This window comes from Homo sapiens, chromosome 6, assembly GCF_000001405.40.
Source record: "Homo sapiens chromosome 6, GRCh38.p14 Primary Assembly".
Lineage (NCBI taxonomy): Eukaryota > Metazoa > Chordata > Mammalia > Primates > Hominidae > Homo > Homo sapiens.
The window spans coordinates 125,956,356-125,980,520 of NC_000006.12; the positions used below are offsets into that span (position 1 = coordinate 125,956,356).

Genomic DNA, 24,165 nt, shown 5'->3' on the forward strand with positions numbered 1-24,165 from the left:
AACAACAATAAAAAGTCAACAGAGATGTAAAGGTCAGTTTTGGACATTTTGAGTTTAAACTCCTACAATTATCGTGGCTGAAAAAGCAGCAAACATGATGTCTGTTGAAAACAAGGCTTTAGGAATTTTGCTCATTCTTTAAAAACCTACGAATTTTAAAAATCAAACTTTAAAAAACTTTTTGTTTTTTTTTTTAAAAAAACGGCAGCGTAATACAATATTTGGACACGCTATACTATGGGCTTTGAAGAACGCCTGTCCAGAACACCCAACAAGCTCCATTATGTCAAACGCTCCCGCGCCTCTGTGATGTCACCACGACGCGCTGGGCGCTCTGCGACTTGGCAGACGTCGTGCGTCATTACCAACGAGGCGCAGGGGTCAGGACGACTCTCGGCAGCGCCATTGCGCGCCCTCTAGTGGCAGCCGGTTTTGAGGCCGGCCTCCGGCTTTGAAGTTCCTCACCGCGTCTCCTTCCCTCTCCCCAAAGCCTGGATCACCGCCCAGCGTCAGGCGAGGGGCGACGTCTCGAGGTAAAACGGAGGAGGTGCGGGACGCGGAGACTGCGCGGGCCCGGTAGCCCTGGAGAGGCCGAGGCTCTAGGCCGCGAGGGGCGGGTGCAATGGCGGAGGAACAGGTGAACCGCAGCGCCGGCCTGGCCCCCGACTGTGAGGCCTCGGCGACTGCAGAAACTACGGTTTCCTCAGTGGGGACCTGTGAAGCCGCTGGCAAGTCACCAGAGCCCAAGGACTACGACAGCACCTGCGTGTTCTGCCGGATCGCGGGGCGGCAGGACCCGGGCACCGAACTCCTGCACTGCGAGGTGGGCGGCGACGCGCGGCCGGGGGTGGGTGAGGACCTGGCCGCCCCTCGGAGCTCCGGCAGGGAGGCCTCGCCGTTGTGGAGCGGGTGCAGAGGATCCCGATCGCTACTCAGCTCGCAGAGGCAGGGCCGCTCTGTGTGGATGGGGCTCGGGGAAGCTGGGGATACGCCCACTACGGGCCTTTCTGCAGGGTCCGGGTGCTGATGACAGACTCACTCCTAGGGGACTGACAGGCAGTGGCTCCAGCGGTATCTTTGCTGTTCCCAGGGGCAAAGAGTGAATGACAGGGCCGAATGCTTTGGCCTATGTTTGCAGGTACCCAGGTAGTTGGTACAAATAACATTTTGTGGCCTCTGCTTTTATTACAAGGATTCTTCTCCACCTTCAAGATACTGATTTTAAATCCTGCACACTCTAATACCGATACTGATGAGAAAACTAGTAGAAAATAGGTAATGATAATTGTGGAAAGCTGTTTGTTAGATTGGCAGAAAATAGGCTGGAGGGAGTGGGTCTGAGGTCAAACTATTATTGAATTGCCTCTGAATTCCACTGTCAGTTGGGATGCGTGGACATTTTCAGAGCATGAAGACTTTGCCCAGATATTTTTAAACGGATAATCTGGCACACACTTTATTCTGTTGGTTTTACTTGTCCATATAGAAACAACTTTTTGAGAGAATTAGCTCCAAAGATTGTGTCTTTTGTAGTAAACATTCCTTTATTTTTTAAAAAATAAATATAATTCCTTCTAAGCACCTTGTTTTGGAGGTTTTTGAGCAAGATAAGGGACAGTCTGTGTCCCGATTTTACAATCTAAAGGGCGGAATGTATACAGAGGAGGTAGCCAGTTACAATGCCTCGTGCTGTGGTCAGGTGATTTTACAGTATTTTGTAAGCTTGTGGGAGGAGCATCTAACCCAGCTCTGAAGAATTAGGGAAGGCTTTCCAGAGGAAATGAGACATGAAGAAATAAGTAGGAGTTGATCAGATGAGGAAATGGAGAGAATAATGTCCCAGGTTGAGAGACCCCCCGAGAGGTTCAGTTTGTGTGATAGAAAAACTAACAGAAATTGTCTAACTAGTGCATAGAGTTTGAGAGGATGAAAGGCGAGGCTGGAGAGGTAAACAAGGGACCAGATTATTAAGTGTGTTGGAAGTCATGTGAAGGAATTTGTCTTTATCTGAAGAGCAAAGTGAAACTTCACAATGTTTAATGGTGGGTTGGGAGGAAGATGTTGCGGAGTTATAGGAAGGGGGTTGATCTTTGAAAGGTCATTCTGGCATCATTGTGGAGAATGATTTGGAGGAGACCAGTCTGGAGGTATGGAGACCCGTTAGAAGGCTAGTAGATTAATCTACCCTGATGATGGCCTGAAATGAGAATGTGGTAGAGGAGATTATGAAAAGTATATCAATTTAAGGGATACAGTATTCAGGAGGTAAAACAGGGAGGACTTGATGGATACAGGTCAGTGATTCTCAACTGGGGGCAATTTTGCCCTCCCAGGGTACATTTTGCAATGTATTGAGATACTTTTGATTGTAACAACTTCTGGCACTTCTAGGGGTTGCTTCTGGGACCTAAATAATGGATAAAAGCCAGGGTTGCTATTAACATGGTACAGTGCACAGGACAGCACCCCCACCACCCCATCAACACACACACATAAAACAGGCTTATCCAGCCCTCAAAATGTCAGAAGTGCCAAGGTTTAGAAACCCTGATTTAGATATAAGAGGATAAGGAAATGAAAGAGGGTGAAGTCAAAGATGATTTCCAGGTTTCTGGCTAGGGTAAACTAGTAGTGGTGGTACCATTTCATTAAGCTCGGGAACACAGGAGGAGAAAAGATGGCCAGGGGAGTGGTGGGAGGTAGCAAAGCGATGAGTTGAGCTATGGAGTTGTGGAGTTTGAGGTGAGTTTGAGGCATCTAAGTAGAGATGTCTTTTAAATGGTTGGATAGTCTAGCACTCTGTAGAGGGATCTGTATCTCTAACCCAGATTACAGGAACTGTCGGTTTATAGATGGAAACTGAAAAAGAAGGGAAGCGATGAGATCACCCATGAGGTAAAAAGTGAAGGGGAGGCCTACACAGAACTCTGAAGAACACTAACATCATAAGGGACAGACAGAGGAAGAGGACCTGGAAAGGGAATAGAGAAGGAACAGAGAAATAGAAGGAACGCTGGAAAGGCTAAGAGAAGGGAGTATGTCAAAAAGAAAGGAATTGCCAGCAATGTCAGCAGCAATATTAGCCTGCCTTCATCCTCAAATCTGGGTTAGATGACCCTTGTATGTCCTTGCAGAGTCAGAGCAGGACTGGTTGTGTCCCCAAAGTGATGTTCATTGACCTTGAGGAGAGCAATTTCATGAAGTGGTGAAGCAAAAGGCAGATAGCAGTTGATTGAGAAGAACTTGGGAAAGGAAGGAGTGAAGACAGCAAATACAGACAACTCTCACAGGAATTTGGCAATCCAGGGGAGGAGGGAAAGGTAGTGGTAGCTACAGGAGAAGTTGGGGATTAAGAGAAAGCTTTTAAAACAGTGAAACCTTTTGTGTGTTCAAATCCCAGTGGGAAGATGCCTATAGAGAGAGGTTTAAAATGGCCCGGCGGGTAGAATGTTGACCCTGGGAAAGAGGAAACTCATTCCTCACTCTCTGTGTGCCAGGCACTGTTGGAGGCATGGGGATACAGCCGTAAACAAAACATGCAAAACTCCTTGCCCTTGTGGAGCTCACATTGTCGTTGCAGAAAAGGATAATAAGCAAAACAATAAGTAAAATTTATAGTTTATTAGATGGCAGAAAATAAAGAGGAAGGGGATGCAGTTTTAAAATTTTAGTCAGGAAAATCTGCACTAAGCAGGTGACATTTGGGTTAAGCCTTGAAAAAGGAGAAGGAGCAATTATATGGTTATATGGTTATTTACAAGTAAAAGGTTTGAAGTAGCTCCTGTGAAGGCTAGGAGAGAGAATTAGGGAAACAAGGATTGTTGTACAGCGGGTCACGTGAGGTTGAGGACATTCAATTTCAGGTCATACCAGTCTGCTTAGTTGTGTGATTTTCTTCCCACTTTCCAGCAGCAGCCAAAGGCTGAGATTACACAAGGTAGGCAGTTGTATTGACCCAGGGTTGGGATTTTGCCATGTGGTTGTTATAGAAGTGTAGTGAGACACAGTTAAGAAGTTATGGAGCCGGGCGCAGTGGCAAACGCCTGTAATCCCAGCACTTTGGGAGGCTGAGGCAGGCGGATCACGAGGTCAGGAGTTCGAGACCAGCCTGGCCAATATGGTGAAACCCCATCTCTCCTAAAAATACAAAAATTAGCTGGGTGTGGTGGCAGGCACCTGTAATCCCAGCTACTTGGGAGGCAGAGGGAGGAGAACTGCTTGAATCCAGGAGGTGGAGGTTGCAGTGAGCCAAGATCGCGCCGCTGCACTCCAGCCTGGGTGACAGAGCAAGACTCTCTCTGGGGGGGGGGAAAAAAAAAGAAGTTAGGGCAAGCAAGTGGCTGAAGTGGTAGACCATGGAATATATGCTGAATAGGAGAAGGAAGTAAAGACAGCACCTGACAGGGAGAAAGAATACGCACATCAGTTTTCTGTTTGCAGACCTTTGTTGGACTGACCCATAGAGTCAGAAGGGACCTAGTTCTGCCTCTTCAGTCTCCCTTTATTTTACTAAATATAAAAGTAGGCTAAAGAGAGGTAAAGTGCATTTTTAAACTCAGAGTTCAATATTTAGTAGATCCTTAGAAACTGCTTTTAAATTTTGTATTCTGCAGTTCCAATAATGAAACTAATAGAAAATAGATACTAGTAGCAGTAGAAAGCTTTGTCTGAAAATAGTCATCAAAAGGGGTGGGATCCAGACTTCTATCACATCCAAGGTGAGAATTTTTCTTGGTTAGGAACAAAGTAAACAATATGAAGAGACTGGGGATATTTTCATGGTAGAAATAAGACATGATCAGTACTTTCAACTAATTTACACCCTAAATTAGGGAAACGGGGAATATATACAATAGCCCATTGTCAGTGGAAAAACACAAACTGTGCTTTTTTTGTTTTCCCATTCAACAACAGCAATCAACACAGAACACTTCTGTGACCAAATGTATGGAGGTTTTCCCCCACACACCAAGCAAACAATCAGTTTTGCAGCAGACACCAGCTGGTTGTCCTCCATTTCAATTCTTATACTATCTACCTGATGATAGCATCAGATCCCGCAGGTTGAAGACTCAGTCCCCAAGACTGGCCTGCCCTTCCCACTAGTTGCAAGTCCAGGCCTCTGGAACTTCTGACCGACCAGCTTGAAGTTGGGGATCCCACAAGCTTCTCTTTGGGTTCTAAAGCTTGCTAGAGTGGCTTACAGAACTCAGGGAAACACTTAGGTTTACTGGTTTATTATAGAGGATATACCAAAGGATGCTGCTGAAGAGATGAATAGCCCAAAGTATGGGGAAAAGGGGGCAGAGCTTCCATGTCCTCCTCAGGCGTGTCCTCTCCCAGGAGCCTCCATGAGTTCAGCTATTCAGAAGCTCTCTAAACTCTGTTCTCTGGGGCCTTTTATGGAGTCTTCATTGGATAGGCCTGACTGACAATTCTGTATTAATGTGACTGGACAAAAAGGGTATGATCTAATACTAGTAGACTGAGTGGGGAAACCCAGCAAGGCCTGTCCAGATTCTTCTTGGCCTCTCTGTGAAGCTTTCCTTCCTCCAGGGTATGAGGCAGAATCCCTTCAGAAATGAGGGTTTTATGACCCACAATCAGAAAGGTCAGGGAAGATTATAGTCCTGACTTGGGCAGGTGAGGGGAGGGCAAAAGAAGGGCAGAGAGATTGTGAGAGAGATTCTTTTTCTGAGGCCTGTCTCTGAGGCCTAAAATGCCTCGACATGGTAACAAAAGACTGTAACAAGGGCATTGGGAGTTATAAGCCAGGAATCGTGGATGGAAACCCATATATATATACACATATATATATATATATATATATACACATATATATATATATATATATACACATATATATATATATATATATACACATATATATATATACACACATATATATATATATACATACATATATATATACACATATATATATATATATATCACACATATATATATATATATATCACACACACATAACCGTATAATACAAAACGTAAGATACAGATGCGTGTATAATAGTGCTCCCAAAGGTTGTGTATCTTTTTCAAATTGAATCTAAGATGACTTGATGTACAAGAGCTCACTCATTAAAGGGTAAAGATTAATCTTTTTAAAAAGAATAACTACATAACATAATTCGATGGTTTACATCATACATTCATATACTCATTCAAATATATTCATTGCAAACATTTAGAAACTGTTGGGTTTATATAAAGTGTAATTCAGGTACAAAAGAGAAAAATTTCCATTTGGAAAAATTGGAGTTACCAGCATCATGAGGGGTTAGTCTGGCAAACCTTTCCAGCAAAAGCTGTAGAAGATTCTTCACTCCATAAACCTCCATATGGTGTTGTCTAATTGTATACTGCAGATTTAAAACTAAGCAAAGGCTGAACCATGCATTCTTAATGGGGCAGATGACACTCCCAAAGGGGTGAAAATTGGTTCTTGGTGGTGGTGGGGCAATATCTTACTTTTTCATGTATGAGGCACAGATATACATAAACAGAGAGTGTAGCTGTGGTATTAAAATCTCATGGAGATGGGATTAGAAGAAAAAAAAGTCTTAAAAGGCTCATTAGATAAAAAATAATGAAAAAGTAATTGAGTAACACTGGACTAGAATTTACCTTGCTTGGAACTATACTGAGGAAATAACTCAGTGCCAATTTAACTTGAACGTTGTCCCCTGTTGGAAGATGGTTAGCATCCCCGATCTCGGCGCACCAAATTTTAGCAGTATGCGTGATCAAAAGGGCGTCTATGTATTTCCACCTCTGGTTGAGAAACACTGCTTCAGAGCCACACTCCATCTGCTGGGTCCACGCTGGCAGCTTTTTCCCAACAAAAAATAGATGTCTTGCCATTCTTGACATCCGTGAAGCTAGTGATAAGGTATTCAAAAGGGGGAGGGGGAGAAAGATAAAGAAAACCTGTCTTTGTAGTCTTAAAGCTGGCCAAGTTTGCTAGATGGATGATAACAGAAGCAGCAAAAACATGGCTTTTTGATTGGCAAGATCTAAATTCCCTCTGGGATTTTTAGCTTTTTTAGTTCTGCATTACAGAAAGCACAGAAATATTTAGAATGGAGGTTGAGTGCCAGTCTGCCCTATTTGGGTTTTCAGATTTAAAGAAATCTGAAACAGTTATTCGTTGTATTTAAATTGTTTATTAGAGTCAGTGGTGATAATGAAGTCAGGATAGGCTAGCTCTTCCTCTAATCCATGCATTTCCAAAAGGATAAAAGTTGGTTCTTCCCTGGGGCAGAGCAGAGGTGGCAGGAGAAAAACAATTTTTATTCTTTTTATATGTAAAGCATAGGTATACCATACAGAACATAAACATATATACATTGTATCTGTGCCATTAAAACATCATGGGAGGGGGCAATCAGAAAACATCTATAAAGTCTCCTTAGGGAGGTGTTAATGAGAAAAGGTTGAGACACACTGATCTAATTCAAAAATGGCCACAATTCCAATTTAAGAAGGGGTTTTGCAAGGAGAAACTGAAAGATCGTAGAAAATCCATCTCTGTTCCTGGAAAAATACCTGAAAACCCAAATGACACACCATTTTTTAAGGGGTAGAGAAGGGTGTATCAGTAACTTTATCTTCTATGAAGCATCTGTCATTTATTTATTCAGCAGTTTGGCAGGCGTACTTTGTTATTCACTTGGAGTTCAAAGATGAATATGGCATGCCCCACACTTGAGGAGCTTCCCTGTGATCCAAATTCAGTGCAGGAATGAAAATGCTCTTTAGTGGATGTCATTAGGGATGGATAGGCAAAATACTGTATCTTTAAGTCACTTGAAATCATTCTCTTCTTTGAATGGAATGATTATGCTACCAACATGACATCCAGTTAGGTTTATTGTTTGTTTTTTATTTTTAGGGATTGCTTTTTTTTCTTGTGAAGTGTGATGTATACATGTTAAATATTTACATGTTTTCAGAGTCAAAATTGTAAAGCAAGGTACATTTGGAGAAATCTAGCATCCATTCTCTTGTCATCTCTACCATGTCTCTTTCTCCATAAGAAACTTTTAAAAACTTTTTTGTTTATCCTTCCATTGTGAGTAAATAGGTATTCACATGTCTGTATTTGTATTCTTCTTTCTTACACACAAAAGATAGCTTAACCACTCTCCTGCTCCTTGCTGTTTTTTAAAAAAACTTGAATATATCTTAGAAATAATTTCGTATGTATATGAAGATCTTCCTCATTCCTTTTTAGAGCCACACAATACTCCATTGTGTGGATTTGCCATAATTTATTAAACCAGTCGCCCAGCTGCATTATGAATGTTTGGTTTATTTTTCAGTCTTTTGCTATCATGAATAATGCTGCAAAGAATAGTTTTATACACACACACACACACACACACACACACACACACACACAATCATTTCATATTTTTGCCAGCGTATCTATGGAATAGGAGGATCATTTTTCTTAAGATGAACCATGTAAATGATGCCTGGATCAGCAGTAGGAATGGGACAAAGGGTGACATCAGAGCTAGTTTCAATATTTCAGAAAGCTTCATGGAAATCTAATTTAGTCAGGGTGTAGGCTAACTAAAACATCAAGTTTCTATATTTTTGAGAGGAATTTTATCTATTCCTGGTGATAAGAGTCATGTTGATTGGTAGTTTTTATTAGGATTGGGATTGTGTAATTAATTAAGATTGGGAAAATAAATTATTGATATATGAGAGTTAGTAACCAAAACCTTTCAATATAGAGGTTGGAAGACAAAACTAAGCATTTTGGTTCATTCTTATCGCTAAGTTATGCAGTATGAGACAGCAGATTTTTAGGAACCGCTTTAGCTTTTCTCCTGCTAGCCATTAGACTGGCACTTGCTAGTTCTGTTAATCTAAAGAAGTGTCATTCCTGCTGTGAGGTAGAGTACAGCTACATCATCTCAAACTAACCAGGTTGTATTCTGTACCAGAATTACCTCTGGATTTTAAAAAATTAATGCCGTAATTGAGGGGAAATAAAGATATATAACATTATTGTGTTATGAATCAATCTGGGAAGTAGGATTGTGGCAATTTTCTTGTACTAGATTTAACCCCCAATTTTAATTGTTTCTGAGCTGGAAGTATTAAAGAAATAATGGTAATCCCAGCACTTTGGGAGACTGAGGCAGGAGGATCGCTTGAGTCCAGGAGTTTGAGACCTGCCTGGATAACATAGGGAGACTCCATCTCTACAAATATATATATATAGCCTGGCATGGTGATGTGCATCCCAGCTACTTGGGAGGCTGAGGTGGGAGGATCAACTGAGCTCAGGAGATCGAGGCTGCAGTGAGCCATTATTGTGCCACTGCATTCCAGCCTGGGCTACAGAGAGAGACCCTGTCTGAAAGAAAGGAAAAAAGGAAAATTTTAAACAATAAAAAACAGTGTAGTCCTTGACCTTATCCTTTTCTAAAACATTCCATGGATATCAATTTTTAATTTTAATACTAGACAGAAAAACCATAATAAAAATGATAGAAATGGATTAAAATTGATATATAATTATCATGTTTGTTATCTTAGGATAACCAGGATTACTGGAATGGATATGACGCACTTGTTTGAATTGAATTTTGGCTCTTGGAACAGAGAACTATTGAGCAGCATTGCATTCATGGATTTTTTCTAAGGGAAACTCTGCTTACACTGATTTTAATTAATTTTTATTTAATGTAAAGTAAAAATTAAAATCAGTATAAGATACTGAATAAGATATTCACTATCAGATATTTAATATGGTTATTTAGTGAATATAAATTTTCTTTTAGGAAAGTTCGAAATTCAAATGTTAATAGGTTGAAACACGCTCTTCCTTTCCTTTTCTTTTTTCTGTAGATTACTGTGTGGGGTAATGTAAACCAGAAAACTGATGCCATACATGTAGTGTAGTGGTCCCATAAATTAGTACAATATACTGGAATTTGTTTCAGCATTTCAGTCTTTTTAATACTGTAAAGTGGCAAGTAAAAAAGTCTTTGGATATAATTGCTTTAAAAAGTGTTTAAAAAATGCAATCCCTGGACATGTAAATGCTAGCTGGTGTTCTTTTTATAATTGAGGAAAATGCTACGTTGGGAAAAAAATTAAATGTAGAAAGGAATTTATCTATCTTGTTGTGATTCTGTAGCCAAACCTTTAAAAATATGTGTCAAGGTAAAAAACTTTAGGGTAGGGATAGAGAAATGTGTAATGAAATAATAAACTCTGAGATTATTGGTAATGAAATTTTAGTGAACTTTACTCATAATTGTTTCCCCAAAATTGATTTTATGTGTCTTTTTTATTCTCTGGAATCAATAAGCATCTCATGAAGGAAGTGTTATGAACTTAATGCGTAATTATAAAATTGCCCAGTGGGGGTTAGGTGTAACATAAGTATCATTTCCCTGTCAGACTGAGATTAATGATATTTAAGTCATGCCAGAACAGCATTAAGAAATTCTTTTTAAAAATTCACTAACAAATGTTTTTTCCTTTAGAATGAGGACCTAATTTGCTTCAAAGATATCAAACCAGCAGCAACTCATCATTATCTTGTGGTGCCAAAGAAGCATATTGGAAACTGCAGAACTCTAAGGAAAGATCAAGTAGAACTGGGTAAGATGATGGCAGTATTCTTCATGTTTATATCATTTTCAGTTGGTATCAGTGATGGCAGTGAAGATTAAAAAGAAAAAGTCTAGTTAAGTACTGTGAAAAAGGAGCATTATGACTTTTTGAAATTTTCACTATAAAGAATTTTAAATTCATTAAAAAATAGTATAATACTCGTGTATTCATTATGCAGCCTCCACATTTAGGAACTCATGGACAATTTTAAAAAATACATTAACCTTTTCCCACAGTGATTGTGAAGCATAAACCAGACATCATGCTATTTAACATTTAAACTGTCCAAAAGATAATATATTTTTATGACTTTTTTTTTTTTTTTTTTTTTTTGAGACAGAATCTTGTTCAGTCACCCAGGCTGGAGTGCGGTGGTGCAATCTCGGCTCACTGCGGCCTCTGCCTCCTAGGTTCAAGTAATTCTCCTGCCTCAGCCTTCCAAGTAGCTGGGTTTACAGGCATGCGCCACAATGTCTGGCTAATTTTTGTATTTTTAGTAGAGACGGAGTTTCACCATGTTGGCCAGGCTGGTCTTGAACTCCTGACCTCAGGTGATCCACCCACCTAGGCCTCCCAAAGTGCTGGGATTACAGGTGTGAGCCACCGTGCCTGGCCTATTTCTATGACTTTTTAAATGATGGACTTTCTTGACTCTGAAATGAAAGGTGCTATGAAAAATTATAAACAAACAAGTTACGATATGACAAATGAGCTCATATTGCCTTATGGTGAGATCATGTTGGTACCTGCCTTATAGTATCCTGTGAAGATGAATTAGCACCAAAATTTAATTATGAGTTTTTAGTGATGAACTTCTAGCTTCTGAAAAGGAGATTCTGAATCTTGTCTATTAAGGATGATTGCTCATTTTCCTACTCATGCCTTCTGTGGCTTGTCACCTATCATTTTCTAAGACATTTCTAAGCTTACTTCAAATCTGCCTTTAAAAAAGATAATTTTTTATTTTAGATTTGACGGTTTAGATTTGAAGATTTAGATAAAACTTTTATTTTAGATTTGATGGTACATGAGCAGGTTTATTACGTGGGTATATTGTGTGGTGCTGAGGTTTGGGATACAAATGATCTGTGACCCAGGTAGTGAGCATAGTACCCAACAGTTAGGTTTTCACCTCTTGCCCCCATTTCTCTCTCCCACTTTTAGTTGTCCCCAGTGTCTATTGTTGCCATCTTTTTGTCCATGAGTACCCAGTGTTTACCCTCTCCTTATAAGTGGGAACACAGAGTGTTTGGTTTTCTGTTCCTGTGTAATTCATTTAGAATAATCGCCACCAGCTGCATCCATGCTGCTGCAAAGGAGATGACTTCATTCTTTTTTATAGCTGCATAGTATTACATGGTATATATGTACCACATCTTCTTTATCTAGTCTACTGCTGATGGGCACCTAGGTTGATTCCATGCCTTTGCTGTTGTGAATAGTGCTGTGACTCACATACAAGTGCATGTGTCTTTTTGGTAGGATAATTTGTTTTCTTTTGGATATATACTCAGTAATGGGATTGCTGGGTCGAATGGTAGTTCTATTTTAATTTTTTTGAGAAATCTCCAAACTGCTTTCCACAGTGGCTGAACTAATTTACATTCTCATCAACAGCATGTAAGTGTTATGTTTTCTCTTCTGCCTTACCAGCATCTGTTATTTTTTTACTTTTTAAAAATAGCCATTCTGATTGGTGTTGAAATAGTATCTTATTGTGGGTTTGATTTGCATTTCCTGATGATTAGTGATGTGGAGCATTTTTTTCATATTTTTTTGTCCTCTTGTATGTCTTCTTTTGAGAAGTGTCCGTTTATGTCTTTTGCCCATTGTTTCATGGTGATTTTTGGTTGTTTAATTGTTTAATAATTTATTTACAGATCCGGGATATTGCACCTTTGTCAGATGCATAGTTTGCAAATACTTTTTCCCATTCTGTAGGTTATCCATTTACTCTGTTGATAGTTTCTTTTGCTGTGCAGAGGCTCTTTAATTTGGTCCTACTTGTCAATTTGTGTTTTTATTGCGTTGCTCTTGAGGACTTAGTCATAAATTGTTTCCCAAGGCTGATGTCCAGAATGGTGTTTCCTAGGGTTTCCTCTAGGATTCTTATAGTTTGAGGTCCTACATTTAAATCTTTAATCCATCTTGTGTTAATATTTGTATATGGTGAAAGGTAGGGGTCCAGTTTTATTCTTCTCCATATAGATAACCAGCTATCTCAACACCATTTAACTGAATATGGCGTATTTTCCCATTTCTTATATTTGTCAACTTTGTTGAAGATCAGATGGCTGCAGGTATGTGGCTTTATTTCTGGGTTTTCTGTTATGTTCTGTTGGTCTGTGTGTCTGTTTTTGTACCACTATCATGCTGTTTTGGTTATATAGACTTATAGTATAGTTTGAAGTTGGGTAACGTGATGCCTCTAGCATTGTTCTTTTTGCTTAGGATTGTCTTGGCTACTTGGGTTTTTTGGTTTCATATGAATTTTAGGATAGTTTTCTCTAGTTGTGTGAAAAATGATGTTGGTAGTGTTGAATCCATAGATTACTTTGGGCAGTATGGCCTTTTTAACAATATTGATTCTTCCAGTCCACGAGCATAGAATGTTTTTTCATTTGTTTGTATCATCTATGATTTCTTTCAGCAGCATTTTATAGTTCTCCTCGTAGAGATCTTTCACCTCCTTGACTAGCTGTATTCCTACGTATTTTTGTGTGTGTGTGGCTATTGTAAATGGGATTGTGTTCTTGATTTAGACTGTCAGTTTGAGTGTTGTGTTTGGAAATGCTACTGATTTTTGTACATTGAATTTGTATCCCGAAACTTTACTAAAGTAGTTTATCAGTTCCAGGATCCTGTTGGTGGAGTCTTCAGGGTTTTCTAGGTATGGACTCAGATTGTTGGTGAAGAGAGATAGTTTGACTCCTTTTCCTATTTGGATGCCTTTTATTTCTTTCTCTTGCCTGATTGCTCTGGCTAGGACTTCTGAAATCTGGAAAGGCTTTGTCATGAGGTTCTGGGATTAGTTTGATCAATATTTTAAGGTAGCCTACATGATAGATCAATTGGGCTAGATTTTTAAGAGGTAAGAAACCACTTTAATGGAAAACCTTGATGTGTAGTTCATTAATATTTAGGCTAGTGAATTAACTAACAATTTTTAAACTGTCGATTCTGAATACAGCTAAGTTCCTTAGTCATTTGAAGTTCTATCAGTACATTTGAGAACATATATGATTTATAACTACAGTACCCTGTACTGTACATTTGAGCTTATAACAATTAGATCCAATTTAGATTTACCTGATTGAAACATTTCATCTTTCTTATTAAAAGTTTTTATTTTCATTCTTGTAGTTATTTCTTGGGTTTCACACTTTAGCTTTTTAGGAATTTTTCAATTTATATTCAGCAGAAGTGGAGAATAGAGGCTGTTATAACTAGTTTTTATAATGTTGCAAATCAAATATTGCTAATTTTGAAGCAGCTGGTAGGTATTTGGGATTCCATTACATTTTCCTCTTTGCTTTTGTGTTATATTTGAATATTTCCATACTAAAAGTTGTTGCAAATTAATAATTTTTATATAATTGATAAAGTTGAGGAAATAATAAGCATATGGAAGAGTTCAAGAACACTATCAAGGAATATGACTATAATTGACATTTACAGAACTCCACTTAAATACAGCATACATGTTTTTTAAAAAGCATATGTTCACCAAAGTTGACCATATTCCGAGCAATAAAATACAGCTCAATACATATCAAATGATTGAAATCTTATAAATATGTTCTCTAAAGACAGTATAATTAAATTAGAAAAAGAAAAAATTCCAAAAAAAGATATAGTCTGGCTTGAAGTAATTTGGAGCTTTTTTTTGGACTCTATGGTACTGACCTAGTCTTGGAAGGCTGGCAGTCTCCCAGCTCAAACCTGACTTAAAGAAGTAAACATTAACAATGATTTTGTAAGTCTCAATATATCAGCTATCCTCTGTAGATGTTTTTACTTCTTCGTCTTTCAAATACATGATTACACCATTTAGAAACTATGGAGGCCTAACATTTGGCATGGTGCTTTGAAGATCCCAGGTGACCAAAATTTTTTTGGTGGACAGGTTTATTCCCACCTGAAGGCCATAAAACACCAAGAGAAGAAAGATGATAAAGGAGATGGAATTTGGAAGCCAGAGTCATTATACAAATTTTTGGCTAGTCAAGGATAGGCTGACTGGAAGGGATACCATATCCTTAATTTGGGCTCAAAGACAAATTCAAAGTTTTCTTGTCTTATTAAATCAAACAATTTCTGTTTAATTACTTGGTCTTCTTGATGAGAGTTAGTCCTCATATGATCAGATGTCCTAAATAGCCAGCTGTCCTAAAGTCTACTTATCTGTGAGATTTTGTGATAGTGATGTTGCACTGAGGCTCAATTTGAAACTTTATTTCAGTTGTTGATAAGCAAACTTCTCAGTGACTTAAAGCTACTGAATGTCTTTATTTTTTATTTTATTTATTTATTTTTGAGAGAGGGTCTCACTCTGTTACCTAGACCTGAGTGCAGTGGCACAATCATAGCTCACTGCAGCCTCGACCTCCTGGGCTCAAGAAATCCTTCTGCCTCCACGTATCGAGTAGCTAGGACTATAGGTGTGCACCACCATGCCTGGCTACCTTTTTTTTTTTTTTTTTTTTTTTTTTGAGACAGACTCTTGCTCTGTCACCAGGCTGGAGTGCAGTGGCTCAATCTCGGCTCACTGCAATCTCTGCCTCCCAGGTTCAAGTGATTCTCTTGCCTCAGCCTCCCGAGTAGCTGGGACTACAGGTGTGCACCACCACGCCCGGCTAATTTTTTTTGTATTTTAGTTGAGATGGGGGTTTCACCATGTTGGCCAGGATGGTCTCGATCTCCTGACCTCGTGATCCGCCTGCCTCGGCCTCCCAAAGTGCTGGGATTACAGGCATGAGCCACTGCGCCTGGCCACCCAGCTACTTTTTAAAAAATGTTTTTTAGAGACGAGGTCTTACCTTTTTGCCCAGGCTGGTCTCAAACTCCTAGGCTCAAGTGATCCTCCTCCCAAAGTGTTGGGATTACAGGGGTGAGCCACTGTGCCTGGCCTGAATGTGTCTTTAAATGTTTACCCATTTGATAGGACAAGAGTGAAGATCAATGGCAATTTGTGACCTTAATGTCTCCTCTAGTGTAATGTTGTGTCTTTTCTGTTTTACAGTTGAGAACATGGTAACTGTTGGAAAAACCATTCTTGAAAGAAATAATTTCACTGACTTCACGAATGTGAGGTGTGTATACTTCCAGATGGAAACCAATATTATACATTATTGACGTTTTTCAAAATGTCATTTCTCCATGGAAAATGGAAACAGAGGTGGCAGTTTGTGGTTTAAATGTAGTTTTCCTGAAAGTGAGAATATAGTTCATTGGTAGTATAAATGTAATAAAACTTCCTCTTGTGTCTCAATATCTTCCAATAATTTCCACTTGAAGTTTGGACAGACAAGTCTATATGGGCAGTGGGTAGGTAAAATAGTTACAAGTCTACTTTTTAAAAAAAAATTTTTGAGATAGGATCTCACTGTGTTGCCCAGGCTAGAGTGCAGTGGTGTGATCATGGCTCATTGCAGCCTCAACCTCCCAGACTGAGTATCCTTCTACCTCAGCCTCCAGAGTAGCTGGGACCACAGGCAAGTACTGCCACACCCGGCTAATTTTAAAATTTTTTAGGTAGAGACAGGGTCTCCCTATGTTGCCCAGGCTTGTCTCAAACTCCTGGGCTCAAGTGATTCTCCTGCCTCAGCCTCACACAAGTTCTGGGATTACAGGTGTGAGTCACCACACCCAGCAAATCTACTTTTCTTTGTTCAATATGGGCATTCCTATAAAACTGTATGCAAGTTGAATTTTCTTAGAAAAATTTTATATGATTTAAAAACACATGATTATAATTCTAACGTGAAATTAACTTGAATTTGTTGTCTGCTGAACTCTGGCGTAAGCACATGATGTTCAATTTTTCAACTTTTTTTTTTTTTTTTTTTTTTTTTTTTGAGACGGAGTCTTGCACTGTCCCCCAGGCTGGAGTGCAGTGGTGCGATCTTGGCTCACTGCAACCTCTGCCTCCGGAGTTCAAGTGATTCTCCTGCCTCAGCCTTCCACGTAGCTGGGATTGTGTGTGCATGCCACCATGCCTGGCTAGCTTTTGTATTTCTTATAGTAGAGACAGGGTTTTGCTATGTTGGCCAGGCTGGTCTCGAACTCCTGACATCAAGTGATCCGCCCGCCTTGGCCTCTCAAAATGCTGGGATTACAGGCGTGAGCCACTGCGCCGGGCCTTTTCAAATGTTTTAATTTGTCTAAGTAATGTTTTTCTTTTTAAAAGGTTTCCAATTTTGCTTCTGTGACCCAAGCAGGTATAATGGAGATTACTTCTAACACTTTTGACCTAGAATTCAGAATAGACTTGAATTCTAATGCCATCCATGCTACTTGTGGTGTACTCTACGTACACTGTCTGTATTAGTTTAGACATGCCATTTAGCCTCTCCAAGATAATACCTGCTCTGCCTGCTGGTAGGTGCAAATGAGATTCTCTGTGTGAAAAATCCTCCAAAAACTGTTAAGTATTACCAAGTGTGATAATGACAAGGAACAAATGGTGTTTGAGACCCTTTGGCCAGAAGCCACACATTTCCTTCACAGTCATAGGATACTTATTAGAAGAATGAACACTGGACAAAGAATTGAGAGCCCTGAGTCTCAACTCCAGCTCCACGACTGTCTAACTTTGGGACCTTGGGAATATTTTAAACTTTCTGGATCATGGCTTCTCCATCTTTAAGATGAAAAGATTGAGTGAACCTTTGAGTTGCTTCAAGCTTCTAGATTATTTGATTCTACATTATATGACTGTTTGGCAGAAGGAAAACCTAGTCTCCTCTTCTAGGTGGTGGTGGAAATTTTAAAGTATGTACTGCATATCTGACTCCACATTGCTAGTCCCAGAGGATCACTGCTGCAGTATAGCACTTCTATGCCTCCTTTCCACACTTCCACTCACTGATACCTTGAACAGGCAAATATTTCTAGGCTTTGATTATTGTTACAGGTGTGTGTTGCTCTGCTGAGCATAGGTGGACTTGCAAAAATTTTTGTAAGCTTATTTTTAAGAGTTTAAATCATATTTTAAAAACTTTGTAACCATTTAAAGGAATTCTTGTGTATCTTTTAGGAAGCACATAATTATCATTATCATCTAACTTATTTTAAGTATTAAACAAGAAACCTGGGTGATGACGAAAGTTTTTTATGATGACATAATTAATCTCACTACTGAAATATTGTTGGTTTGGTGGGAAATGTCTGAGTACTTTATTAAAGGAAAAAGTGTGCCATCTACTGGCTATGTATTGAATAAAGGAACACGACTACTTGAGTGTCCAGTGATGTTTTTAAAAATTCATTGCAAGAGCATATTTTAAGAGAATGAAAGCTTACGATGATAAAGACTGAAGTGATAAGACATTATGCCAACTCAGAATTCATAAAGATTATATTGAGGCGTAATATGCTGTTAAGGCCTTCCTTGATGATGAGCTTATGTTACTACGAACTTCAACATGAAAAGAAGAGGAAGTGTGTGAATCCTCTGAAGTGCATAAAGAGAAACATTAATGAGATTTGTGACAGTCTATTTACCTTAGGTACTTATTTTGGATCTCATTAAAATTTATGTGTTTTCACCTGAAAAATGACTTTATTTTAGAACTGGTTTGTCAATCATCTCTTTACTTTCTATTTTAGGATGGGTTTTCATATGCCACCATTCTGTTCCATTTCCCACTTGCACCTTCATGTTCTGGCACCAGTGGATCAGCTTGGCTTCTTATCCAAGTTGGTTTATAGAGTCAATTCCTATTGGTTTATCACAGTGAGTATTCTTGTTATGTCAGCAGCATACAAAAATATTTAAAATATCCTTTTCATTGTAGTTTTTTCTTCTCAACAGTAGGCACTTACAGCTCTCATAGACTTGATTACCTGTTTTAACATACTGCTTGCACATATCCAAAATAATATTTTTAATTTGGGGGATTTTGAAGATCATCAGTCTGTAGGAAGAGAAGCTATGGCTAAATCTTCCCCATTGCAAGTAGCAGATACGATATAGAAGAACCATGGTATTCAGAGTTCTGACTCTGGAGTCAGATCTGGATTCAAATTCTGGCTGCAGTGCTTGCTTGAGGGTCCATGTGAAAGTTACTTACATTTTTTAAGGCTCAAGGTCTTTATCTATTACCTGCATATAGGTAACAGTGCCTATACCTAGGGTTGATAAGAGAGTTGATGAGGTAACTTATGTGAAAAGCACTTAAAACAGTACCTTGCAAATAGTAAGTGTCAGGAAATGTTACCTGCTACCTCTATTGTATCATCAACATCATTGTAGAAATTGAGTTTTTGTAGTTTTTGATAGTTCAAATTCCTTAGAAAAGAGTTGTAGTAGTAGCATCACCTATCAGATCTGTGGCTGAAGAGTTGTTTTTTTTTTTTTTGAGACAGTCTCACTCTGTCACCAAGCTGGAGTGCAGTAGTGCAATCTTGGCTCACTGCAACCTCCGCCTCCCGGGTTCAAGCTATTCTCTTGCCTCAGCCTCCCAAGTAGCTGGGACTACAGGTGCATGCCACCATGCCCAGCTAATTTTTGTATTTTTATTAGAGATGGGGTTTCACCATGTTGGCCAGGCTGGTCTCTATCTCCTGACCTCATGATCCACCCGCCTTGGTGTCCCAAAGTGCTGGGATTACAGGTGTGAGCCACTGTGCCTGGCCTGAAGTTTTGAGTCTAAAAAATTACAGCATTCTGCTTTTCCAAAGCAAAAGTGGAGTAGAGTTCAGCTGTTTATACACCTGTGGTCTGAAAGTCAGCCCTTAGATATTAAGTGACTCTGGGGTCCCTCTAAGGCCAATTGACCACTAATTTACCAGGGTGTTATTTTATGTGTCCATGATGACAAAGTGATCTGTAGTTGCCATATCTGAATAATCATCCAATAGTATTTATTTATCATTAGTTAATGAATGGTATTATTCTAGTCATAGTACAGAAAAATTTAAAAAGTGTCTGATTTCTAGAAACTTCATATTTCAAACATATTATCCCTGTCTTCAACTTGTTGCCCAGATGATTTCATTTAAATAATATAAAAATACAAAAATTAGCTGGGTATGGTGGTGCATGCCTGTAGTCTTAGCTACTTGGGAGGCTGAGATAGGAGGATCGCTTGAGCCCAGGATGTTGAGTCTGTAGTGAGTGATCATGCCACTCCACTCCAGCCTGGGTGACAGAGTGAGATCTTGTCTCAAAAAATAATAAAAAATTAAATAATATATAAGATACATATATATGTATGTGTGTGTGTATGTATTTGAAATTTTAAAAAGTGGGATATTCTGCCGGACAGCTGGTTTGGGTTTTTTTTTTTTTTTTGCAAAGTTTGTGTAATAGAAAATGCTTTTTTTTTATATTTGTATTTCTAATTTTCTATAAGAGCTATACCTTTATAATAAAAGATGAATGAAAATACATTTTTGTAATGTTTTGACTGTATTTTCTTATAGGAAATACTTTTTTACTTGGAAAACATCTTATAAAATATGTTGTTGGTTTATCCTGAGAATCTGAACTCTTCTTAAATCTGACTTTGTTAGCGTATCTTATGAGACTTTGAAAAAAATCAAGATAAAGATATTGAAGTTAATTTCAAAATCTTATATAATGATCCAGATTATATAGTGTGATTGAGAAAAACACTGAAATGATGTAACTCACAGACTTTAGTTTACCTTTTTAAAAAATAGACTTTATTTTTTAGAGCTGATTTAAGTTCACAGCAAAATTGAGTGGAAACTACAGAGTTCCCACGCACCCCCTACCCCTCCACATGTACAGTTTCCTCACTATGACATCCTACACCACGGTGGTATATTTGTTACAATCAATGAACCCCATTGATAAATTGTTATCACCACAGTCCATAGTTTACTTTTGAGTTGACTCTTGGTTTTATATTCTGTGGGTTTTGATAAATGTATAAGGACATGTATCCACCATTATAGCATCATACCTAACAGTTTCACTGCTCTAAAAATCCTCTGTATGCTGCCTATTCATCCCTCTTTCCCCTCTAACTCCTGGCAACTGCTGATCTTTTTATTGTCTCCATAGTTTGGCTTTTTGCAGAATGTCATATGGTTGGAATCCTACAGTATGTAGCCTTTTCAGATTGGCTTCTTTCACTTAGTAATATGCATTTCAGGTCTTATTTTACTTTTTAAAACTTTAGTGTTATATTTATTTTCCTTTTCTTCTTGAAACTTGTTAATGAATTTGCAATGTAGGCAACAATCTGCCTATTTACATACAATGTAGAATAATTATATATAGATATTATACTGAGTTTTTTTGTAAGATATTTTTAGGAACAGAATATATAGTACTCAACTCTTCTAATGTGGCATATTATAATAGGGATACCAGTAGAATTATTTGATAGAGACTATGATATCTAGAATTAAAAAGTATGTTTTTTAATTACAGGCTGATCACTTGATTGAAAAACTAAGAACATGAAAATGTCAAGAGTGGAAGATTTTTCTAATCTTGGTTCAGCATGAAGTGGTATTTAGGTCCCTTTTAAGTCTAATTGCAATTTTAAGATTTGTTGGGTTTTATGAGAGGCTGTTACTTAGTGGCCTTAAATCTTTTCTGAATGTCTGTTTCCTAAGATCTGTGATACAGTTATGTGAATATTTTGTTACTGACTTGTTTCAATGGTTACTTGTATAAGGATTTTATATATATGATACTATAGATAAAATCCTATTTAAGACAAATTCTGTTAATCAACAAGGGCTCTGTATTTTTTTAAGTTAAAATATTTTCATTTCTCAGTAAGTAGTCAGTTATAATAGTGATTTATTTATGAAGAATAAACTACTATAGAAAGTACTTTGTGGGAACCTTTATTACTGTGAAGGAGAAAAATAGCTATTTCTTGACAGTTCTATAGTTATACACATAAATTTTCAAAATAAAGAATACCATACTACACAATGATCTCTGATTTTGCTGAGGGAAGGAATTATATATGTGCCACTTTTTCCTCAAATTTCAGATGCCAGTTTTCACTTTTTGAAGCATTGCATCTTTTTAATAAATCTATCCTGAAAGCTATATAATATATATAATTTATATCAATGAATTTACAATAACTATCAAATTGGCTATCAGAATTCACTGTAATGGAATTTTGCCTCTAATAACATAAAGGGGGAAGAAACATAAAGTGGTTCTCTTAATAAAACTAGCAGAAAATGTTGCTTTATGGCATGTTTTTGTATCAAAGAGAAATCAGAGGTTAAACTTTGCTTTTATCATGAAAAGGGCCTGATTTGAAGGTAGAGATAGGCTTAGATGAGAAAAATTGATAACGCAATGTTAATACTATTGATATTTCATAGGTATATTTTGTTAGAAATTGGTTTTTTGGTGCTAATCTATAGGCACAATAGTGAATATGAATGAAGAGTAGGTGCTGCAAGTTAATCCTACATTGTGCCAGTGTATATTAGTACCATGTAAATGAATATGAATAAATGAACATGAGGATTAACGAACTGTTGAAAATAGGCTGAGATACTAGTTTTCTTTCTTTTTTAGAGGGGGCATGATATTAAAGATAGTTTTAAGTAACAAATTACTTATTACAAAGTTACAACATGTGGAATCAATAGTTTTATTTGTTCATTAATTTATTCATTCAGCAAACATTTGTTGAACATTTAATGTGTACCAGATATTGCCAGGATCAGGAAATAAAGAACTAAAAATGGACATTCAGACTGCAATTGCTAGTACAGGGGTCAAACAAAATCAGTGATTAGAATTTAGTGCGTTAAGTTCCCTGATGCCTTCACAGCCAGAAGAGGCTGTGAAGGGATAAACACTTCTGAGAGTGGGTGGTAGTAGAACTGAGTATTCAAGACTGAATGTTAGGCAGGTAGACAGTGACTGGTTAGGCTGAGAAACTTACAAGTATTTTCGTTGAGTTCTGCTTCCACTATTATTTACTTTACAATGGATATGAAGTTCAGATTTCATCTTATTTACTGAAGGTGGAGAAAGGATGTGGAAGTAGGGGTTATGGGCTCTCAAAAGTAGATTTAGAGAGATTTTTTTATCACTGTTTTATGATATAGTTCACTGAGCACTTACATAGATTAACAGTTACAAGTTTCCATAAATCAGTTAGAATATGACTAGCTTCAGGGAAGGAATTTTCAACAACTGCAATCTTTGATTGTTTTACTGTGGGAACTTGCAGTGATATAATTGACAACATTATTTAACAATAATAGGTAAAGTAGGCCGGGTGTGGTGGCTCACGCCTGTAATCCTAGCACTTTGGGAGGCCGAGGTGGGTGGATCACAAGGTCAGGAGTTCGAGACCAGCCTGGCCAATATGGTGAAACCCCGTCTCTTCTAAAAAAATACAAAAATTAGCCGGGTATGGTGGCGCATGCCTGTAGTCCCAGCTACTGGGGAGGCTGAGGCAAGAGAATTGCTTGAACTCGGGAGGCGGAGGTCGCAGTGAGCCGAGATCGTGCCACTGCACTCCAGCCTGGGTGACAGAGTGAGACTTTGTCTCAAAGAAAAAAAAACAATAATAGGTAAAGTATTTAAGGAATTCTCAGATGCCTTATGGACCTCTTCAAAAATGTGGTTAGCCAATTGATTCAACTTTTATAGGTTTATATGCTCTCATGTAAACCTATTTGTTTCCGAGATCAGACGAGATCGGGCGCGTTCAGGGTGGTATGGCCGTAGACAACCTATTTGTTAAAAACCCTTGGAAACACATCTTTTAGTAGAGGTTCTTATTTACTTATAAAGATTAATAATCAAATTACTACAATTAATATCCATTTAGCCTTTTCAGTAGTCTAAATATTTGGTAACTCCCTAGCCATCTATAACACTAGTTCAAAACAAGGCTAATTCATAACCTGTCTTAAAAATGTTTGAAGTGGTATCAAGAGCATTGTTTATGCATGTTGTGATACTATTTGTGGAACTGTTTAATGAGCTATTTCAAACTGCTAGAAGAAAATGAAATAAAAATGGAAAAATACTGTCAAATTTTGCCTGTCTGGACTTTTTAAGTAGTATTAAAAACAGAAATTCAAATGAAAGATGTTTTATAAATTGGCTGATCAGTGTATGAAAGGTATACTGTAGTGATGTAAACACACCTCTTTCATATAAAGAATCCAAGGTTAAGAGCACAGCCTTTATTATTGTAACACTTATAACTTACATACTTCTAGATTTTGATATGAAAAAGTCATTTACAAAAGCTGGTGCCCACAACTTTGATTAATTTTTTAGTATGTACTAGGTACAAGTACTCCAAGT

General features: G+C 38.1%; 1 protein-coding gene and 1 pseudogene across 1 annotated transcript, besides 3 other annotated features; one reads left to right on the forward strand and one right to left on the reverse strand.

The window, feature by feature from the left end:
- HINT3 (histidine triad nucleotide binding protein 3) lies at positions 415 to 23,889 on the forward strand. The gene is made up of 5 exons (NM_138571.5): positions 415 to 823; positions 10,532 to 10,649; positions 15,904 to 15,973; positions 18,492 to 18,618; positions 21,289 to 23,889. The coding sequence occupies exons 1-5, from the start codon at positions 623 to 625 to the stop codon at positions 21,319 to 21,321; spliced, it is 549 nt and encodes a 182-aa protein (NP_612638.3). The 5' UTR covers positions 415 to 622; the 3' UTR covers positions 21,322 to 23,889.
- Positions 428 to 527: an enhancer, noted in NCBI's record as "active region_25032". NCBI's record gives its function as "activates an Ori minimal core promoter by ATAC-STARR-seq in GM12878 lymphoblastoid cells {active_cell/tissue: GM12878}" and the evidence as "EXISTENCE:reporter gene assay evidence [ECO:0000049][PMID:35858748]".
- Positions 698 to 917: a silencer, noted in NCBI's record as "silent region_17524". NCBI's record gives its function as "represses an Ori minimal core promoter by ATAC-STARR-seq in GM12878 lymphoblastoid cells {active_cell/tissue: GM12878}" and the evidence as "EXISTENCE:reporter gene assay evidence [ECO:0000049][PMID:35858748]".
- Positions 1,588 to 1,637: an enhancer, noted in NCBI's record as "active region_25033". NCBI's record gives its function as "activates an Ori minimal core promoter by ATAC-STARR-seq in GM12878 lymphoblastoid cells {active_cell/tissue: GM12878}" and the evidence as "EXISTENCE:reporter gene assay evidence [ECO:0000049][PMID:35858748]".
- RNA5SP216 (RNA, 5S ribosomal pseudogene 216) lies at positions 23,457 to 23,579 on the reverse strand (annotated as a pseudogene).
- Positions 23,890 to 24,165: the final 276 nt, after the last annotated feature.